This window comes from Homo sapiens, chromosome 12, assembly GCF_000001405.40.
Source record: "Homo sapiens chromosome 12, GRCh38.p14 Primary Assembly".
NCBI classification, from domain to species: domain Eukaryota; kingdom Metazoa; phylum Chordata; class Mammalia; order Primates; family Hominidae; genus Homo; species Homo sapiens.
Window position 1 is genome coordinate 40692028 of NC_000012.12, and position 23237 is coordinate 40715264.

A 23237-nucleotide genomic window follows, 5' to 3' on the forward strand; every position below is an offset into this window, starting at 1 on the left:
TCCCACATAAGTATCTTATTATTTCCTAATCGAAGCTCATTCTTCTCTATGAGGCGCTGGCTTGGTATTTTCGCCTGACAAATCTCCCGGAGCAGATGGTCCCTTCAGGGAAGCTTCAGGAAAGTGCTGGGTGTCTAGTTATGCCTGGACCCTCCCTCCCTCTTGGGGCCCCAAATGACAAGTCATCAAACCAGTTTCTCTCCAGCAAGGGTCCTTGATCCGGTAGCAGCAGGTTTGGGTTTCAGGCACTGCAGAGACCCTTTGCAGTTGGGTTTAGCAGCTACCCAAGTCTGCAGCCTGCGCTGGTCCTGGGGGTGAGAGTGATATCCCTGTTGTCCAATCAGAGAAGCGGGTTTCCCTGTGGTCCCCGCCCCACTTTCCCTGCTGCCCCAATAACCGCCCTAAAAGGCCGGGCTTCTGCTGTCAAGTAGCCAGGGTGGGCTCCGCCGAGGCGAGGAGGGGCGCCGGTGGGGAGATGCGCTCCCAGGTGTTTGCAGCGGAAGTGGGAAACCTGTAGGGTATGGTCCAGCTGTGCCGCACCGAGGCGAGCAGGAGCAGGGAACAGGTAGGAAGCTGGACTTTTCCTTCTTTGCAGATAAAATAAAGAATGCGCATTTCCATGCTGTTGCTTCCCTTCCCCCAGCCCCGCCCAGCCCTCGTCACCCCCAAATCTCCTGTGGTCCCTGCAGCTCTCGCCGTGCGGCGCGGGAAGGACTGGGGCGGAGGTGGCTGGGGTGCGGGGAAGCAGGGGTGCGGGATGCCGGAGCCCTGGGGTGCCGGGCAAGGCAGGACGGCAGTGCCCTAGAAGAGGGCTCCGAGCTCGGGGTCTGTGTCTCGTCAACTTTCCTTTCGGAGGCTGCCGCCGCCAGCGCCGGGAACTCGCCCCAGGGATGCCATATCGCCTCGGCAGGGGAGGGGTGGGGAAGCAGAGAGGTCGGCAGCCCGGGGCCTGCAGGTCTTTTTCTCCCGACGCCGGCCCGCACCTGCTCATCTTTCCCATCCCACCTGGGCGCCTGGCTAGCGCATCCCGGAAAACCTGGGAGCGGTTGCGGAGAGGGGAGGAAGCGACTTGTTTGTCCCCTGACCCCTCTGTTAAGATCTAGCTCCCTTCAGGAGATGGGGGTGGGGAAGAATCCCTGCAACTCGAAGGGCACGTTCCGATTAATTACGTCTCCGTTGAGAAGGCACCGGCCCTTCTCCACGATCTGCGGCAGGTGGGAGGGAGAGACCGCGGAGCCACGGCCCCTTCCCTCCTAGCCTGGCGCTGTCTACGGGAACCACCTTCACACCTAGTTTCTGAAAGGTGGATTTGGCTTCAGGGATTTCCAGGGAGTCAAGTGATTGTGCCCGGATGGGCTCCGAGCGGCTGCGAGGCTGCCTCCCTAGGTGACCGCATCTGGGTAGTAGGTGTTGGCCCAGTGCCGGTTCCTGCAGGAGTCAGATTGCTGGGAGCAGTAGGCAGAAGAATTGCAGAGAGATCCGACGCTGCATCACCCTCTGGGACTGATGACACCCTGCTTTGAAAATTCCTGAAAAATTGGGATGATGGGAAAGAGGGAAAGCGGATAGCTGCGACCTTTCCTTATTTATTTATTTATTTTCATGCCAAACCGGGCATGGGTATTCGTACGTGTGCTTGTGTGTGCACATCTCCAAGGTGGAGCTATATATAGCTCCTGCATACCCAGCCCGGCTTCCCTGCTGCTGAGCCGGCTGCCTTGGCCTTCTCAAGCAATCTGGAAGCACTGAGTGGGCGGGGCAAAAGGGAATCCAATTCTCCATTGGGGGAAAAGCCGGAGAAGAAGCATTCAGACTGCTGAAACCCTGCGTGAAATAATGTTTTTGTAACTCACGTAAAGATCAATATTTCATATTTCATGTTTTCAATATGTCATATTTCATGTTTTCAATATTTCAGTATTTTGCAAACATTCTTAGAGTGCCAATATAATCTTCATCCATTTCGCCGCATTTTTCGGTTTCTAAGTGTACATATGAACCTTACCAGCCCGAAGTGTAACGCAAATCAAATTAATACATGCCGTATCTGGGATATTTTATTAGACTCGGCATAATGGTTTGGTTATTTGGTAGTAAATTTATTTCAGTGGTAACTTATGGCTAACAGCATTTGGGGATCTGGGAATGGATCCACCCACTTTCCAGGACTAAGGAACTGCTAGAACCCTTGCGGGGGTAGATGTGAGGTATTTCTTTGTACAGATTTTACATGTGGACCTGATATTTAAATTTGTACTGCTTTTTCATATCACATCTATTTGTACTATGTGAACTTTCTTTTATAGATTGATGTATGTGCATTTATCTTTGCCATTCCCTGAAATTACTTATTCCTGATGACAACCTTTCCATTTTCACAGATGAAGAAACTAAGATTCAGAAGACACAAGTGATTGGTTGAAAGTCTTCTGAAAACTTTAATATTCCAACAACCTGCCGTGTAATTATACTGCATAGCAGTTTCCCCTCAAATAGAATACTTTTTAGCTTCCCAGGATTTTTGGTCCTGGCAACAAAATGTGGTTAATGTTGATACCAGGAACAATATAAACCAAGTTTATTCGGTTCTAGTCTGACATGTATCCCTACAAAATTTAATTCTGTGTTTTAAGAACAAAATTCTAACTTGCCAAGTCATTTTGAAGATAAATTATTTAATCTACCAAGTTACCATCATAGGCAGTGCGAGCTGGCTTTTAATTTTGCTCTGCAACTTCCTGATGATCTGATTTGGAGCAAGATAATTAAACTCTGAGAATCTGTTTTCTTGTCTTCAAAAGGAATTTTATAGCATTGAAATTTCAGGTTGCTATGAGGGCCATAAAAAGCATGCATGTTTCTATCATGGGGATGGGCGCATAGTGGGTCATTAATAAACAGGGCTACTGGTAATAATAACAATACATAGGTATGTATCAACTAAATGCATTTTAAAATTCATGGTTCTAACAAAACGATCACTCCTCTTCAGAATCTCTAGTAGACTATTTTCACTTGGGAACTTAATCATACTTAGTCTTATTTTGTTGCTTAATCCTCATTTGTATGTCTGATTTGTTTTCTAATTAGGAAGTACTTTGCAGAAAAAGACTACACTTATAATCTTTTTGTATACCCCACCACATTGAACACAGTCCTATAATAAGTAGCCTTAAAGATTCTTGTTCAGGAAGCATCATCCTAAGAAGCTGGATGGGTGCAGCAATGATTTGGGGATATTTTTTTGGTAGAAGGCTATGCCTTGGGAGGAAACTTCCTCTGGCTTTATGATCCTCTCCATGAGGAGTAATGGATGACATAAGGTGTTTCTATATCTTTTCATAGAATGACTCGGTTCTACAGTAGGGATTATGACTATGTACTGGTTCTATGTATTCTCTTGTATCTTGTGTCCCTTGAGACCAACTAGGAAGAGCTGAAATAGACAATTTATATTTCTGTATACAAAATATGTCCTGTAATTGCCTTATTTCAAAAAAAATCAACAAATTCTCCAATTTCCATCTATTTCTACATGTAAATTGGCCATGGTCTCTATCATATCCCACAACTTATTCTAACTCACCAGTAAGCTCCTCCTCAATTCCAATGTTTGTTTTCTTTTTATTGATGTATTATCGATTGTTCTCTTCTGACCTTCTATTTTCCATATTGTCCATCTTCTTGAAATTTTGCTCCTTGACACCACAATGCTCTGATAGCGTACTTTTTTCTTAATTTTTCTAACTTTCCTTTCTTTGTCTCCCTCTTATCTTCTCTTTCTACTTCTAGCTTTCAAGCAAATCCCCCAAATTGATGACAATTTATCTTATTGAAAATAAAGTTCTCCTTCTGCATTTCCATTCCTAATCTCCCTCCCATTAGCCATTTCCTTTACACTTACCCTATCGGCTAAGAGCACAGGCTTTGGGAGGAAGCCTGCAGGTGTTAATATTTATGTATCATGATGCAGTTAAGCGAACATCAGCAAGTCAACTGGGGATTATCATAGCACTTACGTGAGAGGATTTTGTGATTTGTAAAATATTAAGTGAGATAATGCGTGTTAAACATTCAAAATAAGGTTTGGCCCATGGTAATTACTCATAAAGAATAGCTATTAATAATAGAAGTGCTATTGTAGCAATTGTAATGCACAAGGTGAAAACTGGTTTTGCTTTTTCCCCATCAATAGGCATCATTCCTAAACTGGCTTTTATCAATGGAGACTACAACTTTACAGGCTTTCTGGCTTGTGGTTAGTTACTTTTTAAGACTTTCTTTCCTCTAGTCCAAGTGTTCACCATATAGTCAGTAATTGATTCATTTTTATTTTCAACTCTAATTTGTATCTTTCTCTGCTTATTCCAGCACTAGTTTCTTCTGGCACTCCATGCCTGGATGAGTCCAGTAGGCAAGTTATCAAAACTTCCAATTTATAAGTCTATCTGCTTTAATCTAAGATGCCATGTATTATTGGTATAATGTGTTTTCAATTTTCATTAGTGCTTCTACTTTCCTTTGAAACTTTCACTGTACTTTAGTTCGTATCTTAAAAAGCACTGATTTTGGAGCAGGAGACTCAGGTTCAACTCCTGACAACAGGACTGATCCGTTGTGTGACCTTGGAAATGTAGCAGCAGGAGGATGGGGCATTATTTCACTTCAATAATATGAATGACCAACTGTGTAAAGTTACACTCAAAAGTCTATCTATTTAATATTCAATTGAAAATAATATCTTATTATTATAAGGACATCTAAAATCATTAAAGAAATACTGGGAATAAAGAAAAATCCACCAAATTCCGCAGTACAAAGAGATCCTATTTCAATCTTCTAGTCTTATTTCTATTAATATAAATAGGTATTTTTCAATTATAGATTTGAGTTTACAGTGAACATTCACTTTTGTATTTAGCTTTTTAAACTTAATATACCATAAACATTTATTCATTTCATTTAATATTCTTACTATCCATGTGTTTTTTGGCTGTCAATATTCTATGATAGATCTTCAGATTGTTTTCAGTTTTGCATCGTCAAGAACATGAACCTTTGTATACATTAATATTTGCATTTCTGACCATTTCCTTATGACACCTTAGAAGTTACCCAGGCAAAAGTGTAAATATTTTTAGCCTCATAACACTTACTGCCAAATTGCTTCCCCCAAAATGTAAGCACAGATTTATTCTCTACCAGTGGTTGTACCAGTTTGGCCATACTCTCATTAACACTTGATATTATTTTTAAAAATTGGGATCATTTTGATAGTACAAATTGTGTATCTAGTTATTCTTCTGAGTTATTGTTCCTATGATTTTGGATGAGTTCAAAAATGTTATATTTATAGGTTCTTTGTATTTTTTAATTTGTGAATTTCATTTGACTCTTTATTGGAGTGTTCATATTTTCTTCATGTAATAGGAAATCTGAGGTATACTGCAAAAATTGTCTGCATCTTGTTCTTTGCATTTTAAAAAATGCTTTCTAACACACAGAAATGTATAGCTTTACTGTAGTTTATAAATCTATTTGCAGTAGTGTCTCTTTGTAGCTTTCAGGTTCAGAAAACTTTCTACCACTTAACGGAGAATTGAATATAAAAACAACATGTGACGGTGCTATTGCTGAACTTCTTTCCTCCTTTGAAGCAGAATCTGGCTTATGTATATCATATGTATATCCCAGTGCGAAATGGCTCTGGGGACACATAAAATCCACTCAGTCTATTAAGATCCTATTATTCTTTAGGCAGCTCTCCCATGAAGTGAATAGTACCTTAATTCTTTCTGAGCTACTATTGTCCATTTTAAAAGAGCCACAGGGCAGAATGCACTATGGAAGATATTAATGGCCAGGTTACTCAGCCAGAGCAGGGCACATTGTTTGCACAATTATCTGAATGACTCAGGCACTAAATCTGCTTCTGCCAGGATTATCCAGATGGTCCTTAACTCAGTAGATAATTTTTCACTCCTGTACTTGATTTTGATGGTGTAGACCTGAGCATGTCACCACTTTTCCTGCACTGTCTTGTTACTACTCAATTTGCTTAGGGCTGGTTGCTTTAGTTTCTTTTATGAGAGGCAGGTTTGCCCGGTTCTCCAGAGCATAGGTGTTAAGAGTTATGCAGAGCTTTGCATGAAACCTAGCTCAGTCAGTTACTAGCAGCGTGCTTTGAGGCCAGCCACTTAATTTTTTTTTTTTTTTTTTTTTTTTTTTTACGGAGTCTCGCTCTGTCGCCCAGGCTGGAGTGCAGTGGCGTGATCTCAGCTCACTGCAAGCTCCGCCTCCTGGGTTCACATTATTTTCCTGCCTCAGCCTCCCGAGTAGCTGGGACTACAGGTGCCCATCACTACGCCCAGTTAATTTTTTTGTATTTTTAGTAGAGATGGGGTTTCACCGTGTTAGCGAGGATGGTCTTGATCTCCTGACCTTGTGATCCGCCCGCCTCGGCCTCCCAAAGTGCTGAGATTACAGGCGTGAGCCACCATGACCGGCCATGAGACCAGCCACTTAAATTTTTTTACAACATTGTTTTCTGTGTAAGAAACATATTCAGAGTTTGAAGTCCCTATTTCATTCTCCTCCCTCATAGTCGCCTTCTTCTAAGTACATTCTATATGTCATAACCACAGTTGTCTTTCTAAAACCAATTTCATCGTATTCTTCCTCTGCTGAAAATTTTTTGAGTTAGTTCCCCTTTTTTTGTATTAGTAAGATGTCTGAAGTCTTTTGCATTGCACCTAAAGTCCTTTATTAAATGGTACGTGGTAACTTCTCTAGATTCATTTTCTGATTAATCAAATTTCTTCCATCTCCAATCTCCCGTAATGTCAATCAACTGAACGGTTTGCCTTCTCCTAATGCATCTTGTTTCCTCTTTTCTCGCAACACCCTCCCATGTTCCCCATGTTCTATTCTCTACTATAAATAACCTGTTTTCTTGTCTGCTTTTTAACTGACCTAACCTTTTCATGCCTTGGGTCAGGTGCCACCATTTCTTGGAGGACTTCCCCTGAATTCCCAGTCTTAAATTTTGACTCCCTGTGGATATCCCTGCCGTGTCACTTACCATACTATATTGTACTGATTGGTTACTTGTCTCTTGCCTCCACCGTAAGTCCTTGAGGATAGACACCATATGTTATTTTTCTTTGTGTCTGATAGAGGACCTGACATAGAGTTGATACTTAATAAATATTTTCTGAAGAAATGAATAAAAGAAGGTTAAGACTAAATTAGTTTTTAGGATTTCAACAAATGAAGGATTCATATCTTTACCCTGGAAACCAATCAATAAAAGCTAAAAATTATGTCAATCTTCACAATATTTCAAAAATTAACTTCCTGGTTTTGTTGATTTATACAGAGTAAATAAAAGAGAGTTTTTTTTTAATGAGGAATTTTGTAATGAAAAGCATGCCTAGGACAGCCAATAATTCCAAATTGCTAAATCAGTCAATAAATATCTTTTAAATAATTCTGCATTTTAAAAGGAAAGAGGAATGCATAGTTACATGGATAATGTCGATGTATAAATTTAGCTGTGTTGGAATTAAATAATGGCAAAGTTAATTTCACTTTTCTTTATTTAATAAAAGGTCTTCCATTGGTGTCATCTTTGGTAGATTACAAAGCATGGTCACATGCATAGCCTTATTTGATCCTTCGTAACAGTTTTGAAAGTTAGATTCAAAGGCATGGTTATCCACATTTACAGATAAAAAAAAAAAGCTCAGAGAAGTAACTAATTTGCCCAAGGTTACACGTTAGTGGCAAATCTGGACAAGTAAGATGATCTTGCTCATAGTTGAGTGTCCCATGTGTTATGGTTGGCCCAGAACATTTCACTGAGAGATGACTGCCATGATTTTGTCTAGGTTAAGGACAACAATCTTGATAATAATAATCCCCTGAAAGTCCTGAGCAATCTAGTAAAAATGTATTGCATTATTACCTATATAGGGTTTTTACTTAGATTTTTAGTAATCTGAGAAGAAACCAGCTGACAGAACTTTTTGCTTTAAACATATTTTAAAGTCTTATATTTAGTTACTTGATCATTTAGAACACACACACATACACACACACACCATATTACCCTTTCTTTTGTTTGTTTTGAAGTATTTGCCTTTTATATTAGGTGACAAGTACAATGCTCTTTCCCTTACTTTTTTTTTAAAACTTGAATTATTAAAATATTTTTTTCAGCCAGGCATGGTGGCTCACGCCTGTAATCCCAGCACTTTGGGAGGACGAGGCGGGCAGATCATGAGGTCAGGAGTTTGAGACCAGCCTGGCCAACATGGTGAAACCCCATCTCTATTAAAAATACAAAAATTAGCTGGGCATGGTGGCACATGCCTATAATCCCAGCTACTCAGGAGGCTGAGGGAGGAGAATCATTTGAACCCGGGAGGCAGAGGTTGCAGGGAGCTGAGATCATGCCATTGCACTCCAGCCTGGGTGACAGGGTGAGACTCTGTCTCAAAATAAAAAAAAAAATAAAAAATAAACTGGATTTTCTTTGTTTAGTAGACAATGTTCAACTTTAGTCTTCAGGTTTTGGCTTAGCATATATTCTGTGTAATCTTGGAGAACCAGATAGGTCAAATGCATTTTTTAGGAAATAGCACAAGTGATGAAAAAGAAATTTATGAAAAACAGATGGGTACTTAGTAAGAATGGCAATCTATCCTAGTTTGAAAATTACAAACACCGAGATATAAGATTGATTTTTAAAAATTGACTTGTGCAAACATCTTCTCTATAATTGCACCTCAATTACTAACAATCACTTATTGAGCACTCACTCTGTGTTGGGCATTTAAAAAAAAATGTGTTGCACATGACCATCTCAAAACTTTACAAAACCAGTGAAAAGGATTTTTAAAGTTTATTATTCCGATTTTGCAGATCAGGGAAGTTAGTTATTAAAAAGTTAATGCATGGAGAGGCTAGAATTCACACCCAGATTGTCTGACTCTGAAGTCCAAGTTTTTAATTGCTGTGTTATTCAGCACCAACCCCCAGTGCTCATGATAGCTGGTTTTAGTACTTTGTGAGTCACGGTTTAAAATGCTGCTATTCTAAGTGACCGGAATCTATCCCTAGACCCTCAAATAAATTTAGTATTAATACAAGGAATTAAATCATTCTAAATTTGCATATGTTTTATTTATGAATATCTTATTGATATCTTTCACTACAGTAATTTACATGGTGCAGTTTCCCAAGCATGAATTGGACCATTACAATGTGTCATTTAAATATGCCTCTAATAGGCCAATCATTTGAATTTTGACACAAGCACCAGAAGTTTTTATGCATTTCTGCCCTAATTTTGCTTTCTAACATCTCAAACCATAAACAGTAATTCTCTCCTAAGGCTTCTAATCTGATAGTATTTAATTGTCATGGTTACTAAAAGTACAGATTTGTTAACTGTAACAGACAAGATGAATATTATAAATAATATTTATAATATTCTAGCTTGAAAAGCTGTTTACTGTAATAGAATTTTATCTCAGATAAAACTTTCCTTTGTAGAGTATTTTTATACATTAAATGTGGTGTAATATAATTTAAAATATTTGTAAATGCCTAATGGATTGACTTTATTTTTCTTTTGGTCTACTTATATTATTTTGGAGAGCATAACAACTTTCAGATTGCTTGAAAATTAACCTGGTTTCTCAAAAAATGTTATTTTCTAATTTTGGTTTCTGCACAAGTTGAGTGGTAATGAACCTAAGACATCAACTTTAAGTAAAACACTGTATTATTACATTCTTTCCTTTTCCCTTTTTCATTAAAGAATGGCAGACATACAGAAAACATTTGGCCCAATGAGCTATAACAAAGTATTCATACTATGAAATCAACACTCATTTCAGAAGAAAGAATCTTGTCAGCACCCAGGTACCCCGCTTCCAGCCCCACTTAATCACTATCGCCTTACTGTTCTCCAAAGATAGCTTCTGACTAATAAGACTGTAGAATAGTTTTGTCTGTTTTTAGAATCTACATAAACGGAATCATGAAGTATGCATTTTTGTATCGGATTTTTTTTTTTTTTCCCTAGAGACAGGGTCTTGCTCTGTTGCCCAGCCTGTTCTCGGACTCCTGGTCTCAAACGATCCTCCCTGCTCAGCCTCCCAGAGTACTGGGATTACAGGCATGAGCCATCATGCCTGGCCCAGATTCCTTTTGTTCAAAATTTTTTGTGAGCTGTGTCAATATTCTTGCATGTAGCAATAATTTATTTTCATTGTACTGTAGAATTCTATTGAATGAATGCCCCCAAAATATACATATTTATTCTATTGTTGAATACTTGGGTTGTTTCCAGTTTTGTGTTATTACTGATAGTTCTCCTATGCATGTTTTCAAATTTATTAGACATTCTTTTTCTTTTTTCTCTTTGAGACAGCGTTTCGCTCTTGTTGCCCAGGCTGGAGTGCAATGGTGCGATCTCGGCTCCCCGCAACCTCTGCCTCCCAGGTTCAAGTGATTATCCTGCCTCAGCCTCCCAAGTAGCTGAGATTACAGGAGCCTGCCACCATGCTCCGCTAATTTTTTGTATTTTTAATAGAGGCCATGTTGGCCAGGCTGGTCGTGAACTCCTGACCTCAGGTGATTCACCCACTTCAGCCTCCCAAAGTGCTGGAATTGCAGGCATGAGACACTGTGCCTGGCCCAGAATTGAATTATGCTATATACGGTGTTCTGCCACTTCCTTTTATCTTGGACAACTTTTTCTTTCCACATAGTATAGTGCCAACACATTCTTTTCAGCACTTGCATAGTAACCCTTTGCATAAAACACAATTTATTTGTCTCATTGTTGGAACTTTGGGTAATGTTTCCAATGTTTTTTAAAAAAGAATGCTACAGAAACATTATTCTACGTGTAGTTTTGTATATTCCTGGGAATATTTTTCTAAGATATTTCCAGAATGAAATTGCTAGCCAAGAGGTATATATATATTTTTTACAGATTATTGATATTTCCAAGTTGCCCTATAAATTATATAGTATAAATTACTATGGTAATTTATAATCTTAGAAACATGAATAAGAATGTCTGCTTTTGCATATTCTCCCTAGTACTATTATCAGTCTTTCAAATATGTTTGGATTTTGTATTTCCAAATAAAATTATTACTGAAAAAATAATATAAATGAAGCATAGCTGTGTGCTAAAGAGATCATAAAACATAACATTTGGTATTTCCCTATAGACTAAATTTTGCTATTTTATATAAAAATATTTCAGTTATTTTTGGATTTGTAAAAACATTTCAGTTAATTTAAGTGGATCCTAAGTTAAACTCCCCTGCTTTCATCGTTATTTTTAGTATTACAGCTTTTCAATGGATAAAGATTTAAATCTATATTCTGGCACGTAGTAGATACGTAATTTTGGAAAATTTACTCAGTTCCTCTTACTTTGTGTGCCTTCATTTTCCGAAGTCATGAAAATAGATATGGAAGTTAAGTTTGCTATATCGCTCTCATCTGATTGTTTTCCAGGTTTGATTTAGGGAATTAGGCTACTTAGGCAGGTGCCTGTTTCTCACTGACCTATTTATGACCCTCTCAAAGCTGCTTGTTCTTCAGTGAGAAGAGTTTCTAGACATGTAAAGGGGCCTGTTTCCTATGAATAATCTACAAAGTAGTCTCTTCTGCTAGTTAGAAATGGAAAGAAGTGACGTGAATAATATTTCCTTCTTTCCTTCATTTATATTGTTGGTGAGAGGAGGGAGAGAGAGAGAACAGAAATGCAGATCTACCATGTGGTAGACGTTGCATTGGGGCTAGAGATACAGTAATGATTAAGTGAGACTTTCTCTTGCCTTCAAGAGTCTTCTAAACTAAGTGTGTAAAATAGATAAAAAGGTAGTTCAAAACTGCAAATGGGTGCCAACATGCTAGGGGAATTGTTCTATGCAGAGGACAAATAAAGACCTGGAGGCAAAGAACAGCATGACTGGTTCAAATAACAAAAAGAAATAAAGAAATATGGTATAGTATAAATTATACAGTAGCAAGACAAATGGCTGAAGAGCAGAAAAAGAAAGTTTCTTTAAAGTGTTGAAGTATGTGTCTTATTCTCGGAGCAATGGTTTAAAGAAAGGCAGTGATTTAATCAGATTTCATAATTATTTTTTAGGATTTAACAAAGTAAAAGACACTAGCTATGAAAGGGCTGTAATTTCAAAAATGTTAAAATAAGTCTAGATTTGAAACAGCATATCTAGATCATTCTTGATAAGAAAAGAAATTTTGAAAAATTGGCAGGCCTATACTCTCCAAATTATCTTTTAATAAGATCTAGTAGTAATTTTATTATTGACTTCATCTTGCTGTTAGGTATCTTATGAAAACTCCCTTTGAGTAGTTAAGAAAAGATAATTAAACATAGAGTCATATTTTTTCATCTTCATCTTTTTCACAGCTTCTTTGATTTCACAGCTTCTTTCTTGATTTTGGCTAAGACACATATATTTTAAAAGCCATAAAAATTCACGGATGTCCTAGACTTAGGATTTTATCCCTAGCTATGGCTTAGAATACTACCTTGCTTATTTTTATAAACACGTATGGTTTCCTGTTTGTATACAATCATATCTGTTATGGGGGTATAAGAAATAGTCATTTACAATATGACTAAATCACTAAGGAAAAGATGTACAGTAAAACTTGGATTTTGGAGATATTTTAAACTGATGGTTTCTATAAAATGCTATTCCCTGGAACTTCTCATGCCTCACATCACCAGGCTGAGAATTTTTTTGTCTTATTTATTTTTACAATGGTAAAGTGATTAGTTGTAAAGAGGAAAAATTGCCATTGCTACTGACCTAAATGATTGTTAGTCATACTGAAATGTGCTCAGAGAATCATTGCTCAACATGTGAAAAGCTTATCCTTGCAATAAAAATCCCTCTATTTTCTGATACTCTGATAACATTATATATTGAGAAGTCACAAAGATTTACTGATATATAGCAAGTGTAATTTCTTCTTTGTTTCCTCTTTACTTTCTGTCTCTTTTTAGTGCCTTCATTGTTCAGGGAAGTGTCATGCCAAGGTATATTGACAATACTGGTCCTTTTTGAGCATCCAAAAACAGTGGTATTTCTCGAAGCTAATGATTGCCTATTATTTGTTTCATTAGGGAATTAAAATTTGTCAGCCTTTTCTCCAGGATTTTGTTTCATCCAGAGAATATTTTCCTTCCCAATTGCTTGCAGTTGACACCACTATTTGAATCCTGATGAATTATTTCTGCTTCATGTTTGCCATAGACCTTCTGCTCAGCTTGCGTATGCTTATATACTTTACTTATCATAAACTTCCTTGTGTTTGAGATGGGGTAAGCGTTGTTGATGATGGGTAGTAATAGAGAATTATTCCATCTACATCAGATCACAGTTTTTTTTTTCAATGTTTAATAATAGGTTTTAGAATTCTGGGCAAAAGTAACATCTCTTTTTTTTTTATTATACTTTAAGTTTTAGGGTACATGTGCACATTGTGCAGGTTAGTTACATATGTATACATGTGACATGCTGGTGCGCTGCACCCACTAACTCGTCATCTAGCATTAGGTATATCTCCCATGTTGTGTTAGTCCATTCCTGCATTGCTATAACAAAATACCTGAGACTGGGTAATTTATAAAGAAAAGAGGTTTAATTGACCCACGGTTCTGCAGGCTGTACAGGAAGCATAATGCAGGCATTGCTTCTGAGGAGACCTCAGGTAGCTTCTAATCATGGTGGAAGGTAAAGAGGGAGCAGGTATCTCACATGGCAGGAGCAGGATCAAGAGAGAGTGGCGGGGAGGTGCTGCATGCTTTAACAACCAGATCGGTCAAAAGAACTCACTCACTGTCTTGAGACAGCAGCAAGGTGTTGGTGCTAAACCATTCATGAGAAATCTACCCCAGGATCCAATCATCTCCCACCAGGCCACACCTCCAACATTGGGTATTAAGATTTGACATGAGATTTGGGTGGCAACAGAGATCCAAACTATATCATTTGATGCTTTATATATATATATATAGATATATAGATATTTTTATTATACTTTAAGTTCTAGGGTACATGTGCACAATGTGCAGGTTTGTTACATATGTATACATGTGCCATGTTGGTGTGCTGCACCCATTAACTCGTCATTTACATTAGGTATATCTCCTAATGCTTTCCCTCCCCCCTCCCCTGATGCTTTAACCAGAGAGAAATCTTTGCCTGTGTCTTCACTGTATATCTGGTAAACATCTGCTCATTTCTCAAGGTTCCTCCATGCCATTTTTCAGGAAGGTTCTCCTGGCCTGACTTCTCCCAGGCAGATCGACACCTCCCTCCTACGTTCCTAGTGTATCTTGTATAAACTTCTCACATAGCCTCTTTAACACTTCATTATCCATACTTATGTCCATGTCTCCCTTTCTTTACTAGATTGTAAGAGTGGAGAATATGTCTTTTCAATTTTTATTTTGAATCTTCAATGCCTAGAACACTGCCTCAAACTTATAGGACCCCTCAAAACACAGTAATGTTTTGGATGTTTTTAAGTAAACAAAGAGAATATTTTAGAAATGTTCTTTTGTAATAATATTTCATATTCTGAAAATCCCAGAGGAAGGTTGTCTATTTATTAGCAGATGCCCACACTACTTCTTCCATATTGGTAGATATGATCATGATAATATATGTGCTGTATAACTGATACATTATAAGGCACTGGCTGTTCTCAATATTTACAGTTCATAAGAATTACCTGAGATTGTTAAAAAGGAGGAATCCTGACTCTCATCCCTACAGACTCCGGCTTAGTAGATCTGATATGGGACCCAGGAATCTGCATTTCTAACAGTGTCTCTGTTGCTTCTAAGAGCACATTCCAGAAACAAAAATTTTGATCAACCTAGATGGAGTTAATGCTTGTGCTTCAACAAAACATACATATAAAGACGTGCGCGCGCGCGCTTGCGCACACACACACACACACACACACACACACACACACACACACACCCCTGCTCAGATTAAGACTATAGAATTGCTTTTAAATACCTCAAGGATCACCACAATGCCAGAGCCATCACCATTACTTCTTTCTCTTACTCTGTTCATTGCTTTTCTCCTTTTCCTCTTTCATTTCTTTTCTTTTTCTTTTTTTTTTTTTTTTTTTTTTTTTTTTTTTTTTTTTTTGAGACGGAGTCTCGCTCCATCGCCCAGGCTGGAGTGCAGTGGTGCAATCTCAGCTCACTACAAGCTCCGCCTCCTGGGTTCGCGCCATTCTCCTGCCTCAGCCTCCCGAGTAGCTGGGACTACAGGCGCCTGCCACCACACCCGGCTAATTGTTTTTTGTATTTTTTAGTAGAGACGGGGTTTCACTGTGTTAGCCAGGATGGTCTCGATCTCCTGACCTCATGATCTGCCCGCCTCGGCCTCCCAAAGGGCTGGGATTACAGGCTTCCTCTTTCATTTCTATTATCTTTCTTCTTTTCTAACAAAGGATGGCTCTTTACAAACATTGCTAGCCAATCTGAGCATCCCTTTCCTTTCATGTTAAATACTAATTTATTTCAGTGCACAAAATGTTCTAATCTACTGTGCTTGTCCAGATATTTTTTTTGATGACTGATAATGAGTGACTGATTTGTCTCTAAAGGAAGTGTTTCATTGTGAGATGAAGAGGAAAATATGAGGAATAAAAAATACTTTGAAGTCTTCAGTTTCTTGGGTGGCCATTGGAAAGATGGTTTCTATATTGCTAATTTTAAAGTAAGATATTTTTAGTCAACCAAATTCTCAATGTGGCTGCAAAATGAAGCATAATTTATGTACAAACTAAGAGCAAAGGCCACTTGCTGTAATTTTTACATAACTGTTATCAAAAATTGATGCATTATTTTATAATATTAACTCTTCCAATGACTTTTTAGTCCTAGATACTTTTCTCAAATAGAAATTATATTATGATCCAGAATTTTGAATATAATTTGAAGTTACATTTTCTTCCATTTGTTAAATTTTACATTAAAGAGAACTTATGGTATATTACTCATACTATGCTTTCATTTTGGAAGTCAAAATTGTACCACTAAGACTCTCTATTAACATTTCTTAATTAACTATTGGGTTTCTGGCAAGCTATGAGCATACCTTGTAGCTTTTGTGGGTTTAGTTCCAGACCACTGCAATAAAGCCAGTATTTCAATAAAGAGAGTCACACACATTTTTTGATATTTCAATGCTTATAAAAGTGATGTTTACACTGTACTGTAGTCTATTAAGTGTGCAATAGCATTATGTCTAAGAAAATGTACACTCCTTAATTAAAAAATACTTTGTTACGAAAAATGCTACTAATTGTCTGAGCCTTCAGCCAGCCATAATCTCTTTTTGCTGGGAGAGGGTCTTGCCTAGATGCTGATTTCTGAAGACTGATTTAGGGTGGTGGTTGCCAAAGGTTGGGGTGGCTGTGGCAATTTCTAAAAAGATGACACTGAGGTTTGTGAGATCAGTTGACTCATCTGTAGCATGCAATTCTGTTTTATAGCCTTTTACCCACAGTAGAACTTCTTTCAAAATTGGAATTGATCTCTCAAATCTTGCTACTGCTTTATTCACTGAATTTATGTAGTATTCTGAGTCCTTACTTGCCATTTCAACAATGTTCACAGCATCTTCAAGAGGAGGAGATTCTATCTCAAGAACCACTTTCATCCATAAGAAGCAACTCCTCTTCTGTAACAGTTTTATCATGAGATTATAGCAATTCAGTCAAATATTCGAGCTCCACTTCTAATTCTATTTTTCTTGCTATTTCTACCACTTTTGCATTTATTTTCTCCACTGAAATATTGAACTCCTCAAATTCAACTTCTTCCAAACTCCTGTTAATACTGATACTTCGATTTGACTTCCTCCCAAATGTACTCAATGACATCTAAAATAGTAAATTCTTTTCAAAAGATTTTTAACTGATTTTTTCCCAGATCCATCAGAGGAATTAGTATCTATGCAGCTAAAATCTTATGAAAGGTATTTCCTAAATAAAAAAAACTTGAAAGTCAGAATTACTCCTTGATTCATGGCTGCAGAATGGATGTTATGTTAGCAGTCATGAAAATAACAGCAGTCTCTTCATACATCTCCCCCAGTGCTCTTGGGTGACCAGGTGCATTGTCAATGAGCAGTAATATTTTGAAAAGATTGTTTTTTTTCTGAGCAGTCGGTCTCAACAGTGGGCTTAAAATATTTAGTAAACCATGCTGTAAACAGATATGCTACATCCAGACTTTGTTGTTCTATTTACAGAGCACAGGCAGAGTAGAGTTAGCGTAATTCTTAAGTGCCCTAGAATTTTCAGAATGCTAAATGAGTATTGGCTTCAGATTAAAGTCAGAAGCTACATTAGCTACTAACAAGAAAGTCAACCTGTCTTGAAATTTTGAACCCAGGTGTTGACTTCTCCTTTTTAGCTCTGAAAGTCCTAGATGGCATCTTTTTCCAGTATAAGGCTGTTTCGTTTACGTTGAAATTATGTTGTTTAGTGTAGCCACCTTCATCAGTGAGCTTAGCTAGATCTTCTGAATAACTTGTTGCAGCTTTTACATCACCACATCCTGCTTCACTTCACATTTTTATGTTATGGAGATGACTTCTTTCCTTAAACCTCATGAACCAACCTCTGCTAGCTTCCAGCTCTTCTTTTAGCATTCATACAATGGAAGAGAGTCAGGGCCTTGCTCTGGCTTAGGCTTTGGCTTAAGGGAATGTTGTGGCTGGTTTGACTTCTATCAAGGCTACTCAAACTTTCTCCATTATCAGCAATAAGTCTGATTGTCTTTCTTATTTGTGTGTACACTAAAGTAGTACTGTTACATTTTTTCAAGAATTTTTCCTTTATATTCACAACTTAGCTATTTCGCCAGGAGCCCCAGGTTTTTTCTTAGCTTTCCACATAGCTTCCTTACTAATCTTAATAATTTTTAGCTTTTGATTTAAAGTGAGAGATGTGGGACTCTTCCTTTCAATTGAACACTTGGAGGCCATTTTATTTGACTTTTTTCCCAGAACCATCAGAGGAATCACTATGGCAGCTAAAATCTTATGAAATCTTATGAATCTTAGAGGCCATTGTAGGGTTATCTGAACTAATTTCAATATTGTTGTCTCAAGGAATGGGAAGGCCTGAGGAGAGGGAGAAAGATGGAGGAATTAGCCCTTGGTGGAGCAGTCAGAACACCTATTGATTAAGTATCAATTAAATCTTACGTAGGTGCAGTTCATGGCACCCCAAAACAATTACAATAGTAAAATCAAAGATCGCCAATCACAGATCACCATAACACATATAATAATAATGAAAAAGTTTGAAATATTGTGAGAATTACCAAACGATGACACAGAGATAAGAAGTGAGCTCATGCTGTTGGAAAAATGATGCCAGTAGACTTACTTGACACACGGTTGCCACAAAACTTCAATTTGTAAACAAATGTAATGTCTGTGAAGTGCAATAAAGTGAAGTCCAATAAAATGAGGTATAGCTGTACTGATAAATTTCCACTGAATATGGAAATCTAATATCTGATCTAAGGTGGTAGATATGAATATAGTGACTGGTATTCATTTAAGATATTTTTTGAGTACAGACTTGTAAAACAATGTTACAACTGTTTTTACAAATATTATTTATTCATATTGTCCTCTATTTCTAAAAAGAATACTGCAAAACCAAGGAATTTCTTATGGGTTCTTGCAAATATACAGGTAGAGACAATCTTGCTGTTCTCAACAATTATTTTATCTTTTTAGATTTCATAGTGTAACTCACACATAAGCTAGTTATTTCTACTTTTGAATTTTAAATTCAGCCTTTTTCCACATGCTTTGGAACCTCTTCTAGAAGAAGACACTAATACTTATATTGCTAAAAATATCACTCTGAGGTGTAATATCTTAGTTAAATTCGGCTTCACCTCAGCATCACTATTTCTACAGCTATCCTTTAAACCTGTCAGAGAGAGGAATCTCTTCTCTTTCATATTTCTAATCCCTCTACTGGTGCTGTGGATCTCAACTTTCCACAACATGAAGGGAAATTTTCTCTTGTGCTCAGAAGTTTCTACTCCAGAAATTTCAGTCTTTCCCTGTCAATTCTAGAATTCTCCTGCCTTCAAACTTTTGGGTTATGTTTCTCTACTAACTTTTCTAGCTATGTTTTTCTTTCATTTTTCTCTTCCCTTTTCAGAATTACTGGTCTGTAGTTTCAAAATCTCTTCCACCCAATTTATTGTAGAGAAAAAGTAAAGCCAATTTTGGTCAAGTCTTCTTTCTCCTCTTGGGTTCTGGGTTATATCCCTTCACATTTTTAGGGACCTCACTGTATTCATTATCACTTCTTCCTTGTATCCTAAACCTTACCCTCTCTATTGACTTCCTGATGTCAGGATTTATGCTTGGCTAACTCTCTTTATCTTAAAAACAATGCAGAAGAAATTAAACAAACGAAAACTCTCCTTAAACTTTTGCACCCCCAACTAATGACCACAGTCATTTCTCCTTCTTCTCTTTTGTAGCCAAATTTCTTTCTTTCTTTGTTTCTTCTCCTCCTCCTCCTCCTCCTCTTCCTACTCTTCCACCTTTTCTTCTTTTTTTAAGAGACAGGATCTTGCTCTGTCTTCCATGCTGGAGTGCAGTGGTATAATTAATAGCTCACCATAACCTCAAACTCCTGAGCTCAAGTGATCCTCCCATCTCAGCTTCCCAAGTAGCTGGCACTACAGGCACTTGCCATTATGGCTAGCCTGTTATTTTTCTTTGTAGAGAAGAGGTCTTGCTATGTTTGCTATGTTTTCCAAGCTGTTCTCTAACTCCTGGCCTGAAGTGATTGTCTTGTCTCAGTTTCCCAAAGTGTTGGTATTACAGGAGTGAGCCAATGTGCCCAGCCCCAAATTTCTTTAAACATTCATCTATGCTTACTTCACGGTTCTTTGCCTTGAATTCACTCTATACCTCTGAAATCTGCTTTTTATTATTTTATTAAAGCTGCACTTTACTAGGTCACTAAAATATCCTTATTTCATAAATTCTATGAATACTTTTCAGATGTTATCTTACTAGACCTTTCATCACTAATTAACACTGTTCAATTTTTCTTCTTGGAAAAAACTTTTGATAGTTTGGATTTGTTTTTCAGCAAATTTTCATTTATCTTCTATTCCTACTGTGATAGAGCATACTGCCATGTCAGTTGATGTTGTGCTAGGCCATATGATTTTCTGTGACCAATGTAATAGTAGTGGATAGGAACTAAGTAGAGGTTTCAAATGTGTATCTGCTATTTTATTTTATTTTATTTTATTTTTTTACTTAAAGACTAGTGTGATAGTAATGCTTGGTTCTTATACTCTGTCATCTGCCTTGAGAAGCACATATGCTAGGAACCTGCTGATCCAAGGTGGATGTGGAGAGATCTGAGCAGAGTTGAACTCAATACAAAGCTTAGAGCAAGCCCAACCAACCCCATAGCCTAACGTGTAACTGGCCCAGTCAAACTGTGGACCTATGAGCAAGAAAAAAATAAATGCCTGTTGTAATTTGGGAATGTTTATTTTGCAGCATTATCAGACAATAGCTGATTGATATAACTCAATTCCTAGAAATTTAATAAAACCATCTTCTGGATTTTTCTTTTAAATTTCAGGAACCATTGTAATATGCTATCGTTTGGATGTTTGTTCCCCAAAACCTCATTTTGAAATTTAATTCCCAATGTTGGTGGTGTAGCCTAATGGAAAATATTAGGGTCATCAGGGAGGATCCCTCATGAACGGCTTGCTGTCATCCTGCAGGTAATCGGGGGATGTGAGTTATTTCTTAATTCCCATGAGAGCTGGTTGTTAAAAAAAAGTCTGGCACTTCCCTTAGCACTCTTGCTTGTATTGCTATAAAGGAATACCAGAGGCTGTGTAATGTATAAAGAAAAGAGGTTTATTTGGCTCATGGTTCTGCAAACTGTGCAAGAAAAACACCACTAGCTTCTGCTCCTGCTCAGGACATTATTTTTGCATTCATTTCAAAACCAAGTACATTCCATTAAAAAGTTTTTAAATGAACTGAGCCTTTTATTTTGAATCCTATATCATGGCTTTTTTTTTTTTACTGCTTTCTCAAAAATATAATTGAAGTGATTTATGTCATCTAGAGGAGTATTTTTTCTCCCTCAAGTCATGGATTGATATAGTTCATGGGAATAGTTACAGGGATTTATTGAGCAGAAATTTAAATAAACTTGATGTTGGACAAAATCAATACTGTCATACTGAGGAGCATTTTATCATGGTTGTTATCATACTTGTTTATATTATACTAAATAAAGTATATATATATATATTTAAATGCAGAATAAACTTACTCAGTGATTTCTGTTTCTTTATGCTAATAACCTATTGATTATTTGGAATATTATCATGGGTTGATTTTTCTATTTATATAGAATGACATAACACATATAAATGCCCCCCACACACCATAAAAAACATTTGACTAATGAAAGTGCTAGAGAAGTTGGCTGTAGATGTAATATTTTTAAGGTCCTATCATGTTAAAAATATGCCATAAGGCATAGGAAAAGAAAGTCAGTATTTAGGGAGAATGAAGGAACTCTATATGTTCCCAATACAATAAACAAAAAAGTAAATGAAATGTCCAATCCAAAACCCCTGTGCATTATTACTATGAGAACCACTGAAAAATAGAGTCATATGTCTTTTCCACATTTAGTGCTTTGGTCAAATCTATTGTTTAATGACAGAATCATACCTTTTTCCCCTGTATTATGAAATTACGCTCTTCTCTATTTCTCACTGCTAAGAGGAACAGGATTAGGTCAAGTGACCTCCCTGGTGGGTAACTGGGATTCTGCCGATCACTGGAAAGATCTTATTTTATTCTTTGACTATCTATGTGGTGTGAGATGGGAATGATTACCAGCTGTTTTATTTTTTGTTTGTGTTATTCAGAAAATAGCATTCTCTACTTAAAGAACTTACAATTGGAATTTGACTTAGCATCTTGTCTGTTTGAAAATTCTTCACAGATAGACACATATTAAAGATTTTTGGATTTTCAAAAAGCAGATTTTCACTTTAAACATTAATAAACTCAAGAAAGTCAAGCAGTTTGGGCACTTCATGAAGAAAAGTGGAACAGTATGTGTGTTTCTGGAATCAATGGGTTGCTGGATAGTAACTGTAAATCTTACACAAATGATCCCATATTACTGAATAATAGCACCTTCCCCCATCTCTCCAACATAGGCATGATTAAAATGTTGATTATTTGTGAAGTTACGTTATCCATCTTTATTGGAAAATGAAAAGATACAGTAGCATGTCTAATCCTTTATTATCAAGATGCTCTTATGTTTTATATCTTCACAGAAATAGAGGTTGAGATCAATATTATATATTATTTGCTTTAAGAAGTGACATGTTGAATCAGCTTTCCTGCAGGCTTTCATTTATTCAGCCTTGAACTGATTACCTTGTAAGATGTCAGGGTTGTCAAAAATGCTATTTAACATGAATTTTTTTTATAGAAATGAAGCAACTAAAATGCAAGATTATATTTCAGTGAGCTAAAAGTGACTATATCATATGAATATTCTGCAGCTTCTGAAACTTTGGGATTTTGTACTATCCAGTTCCCGAGGGATTCTTACTGCCTCAGGACCTGCTGAAACAAAATATGCCTTTGATATTTAACTCTATGCTCTGTATGTGATCCACTCAAAAATAGACTGAAAGTCTTTTGTTTCTTAAAAAAGAGGTAAATATTGACTTTAGACAAGAACTTCAAGTCCTCATGGTCATTCTGCAGTGGATTGAAAAATTCTCTGTGAAAGAAAACTATTTTGTAAGCATTTTTGTAGAAAAATTAAAAAATGGATGTAGAAAGACATGCGATAAGAAAATCTAATACCATGGATTAAGAACTGAATTTCGTTTGTTTTAGATTTCCTCTAAGCCCATGATTGTTAAGCATAAATGTACATTGAATATCACTGGAATTGCTTGTTAAAACAGATTCCTTGACCCCGCTATCGAAAAGTCTAATTCATTAGGTCTGGAGTGGGGCCTGATAATTTGCATTTTAACAAGCTCTCAGGTGATGGTGGTACTGCTTTTTTGA

The 23237-nt window shown here is 37.2% G+C and overlaps 1 protein-coding gene across 4 annotated transcripts in view; it reads left to right on the forward strand.

Moving 5' to 3' along the window:
• Positions 412-23237, forward strand: part of CNTN1 (contactin 1) — a 379977-nt gene continuing 357151 nt past the window's right edge. For all 4 annotated transcript variants that reach the window (XM_011537926.4, NM_001843.4, XM_024448843.2 and 1 more), the window contains exon 1: positions 412-565. The gene's annotated coding sequence lies outside the window, so the exon portion shown is untranslated. The remainder of the gene's footprint in view (positions 566-23237) is intronic.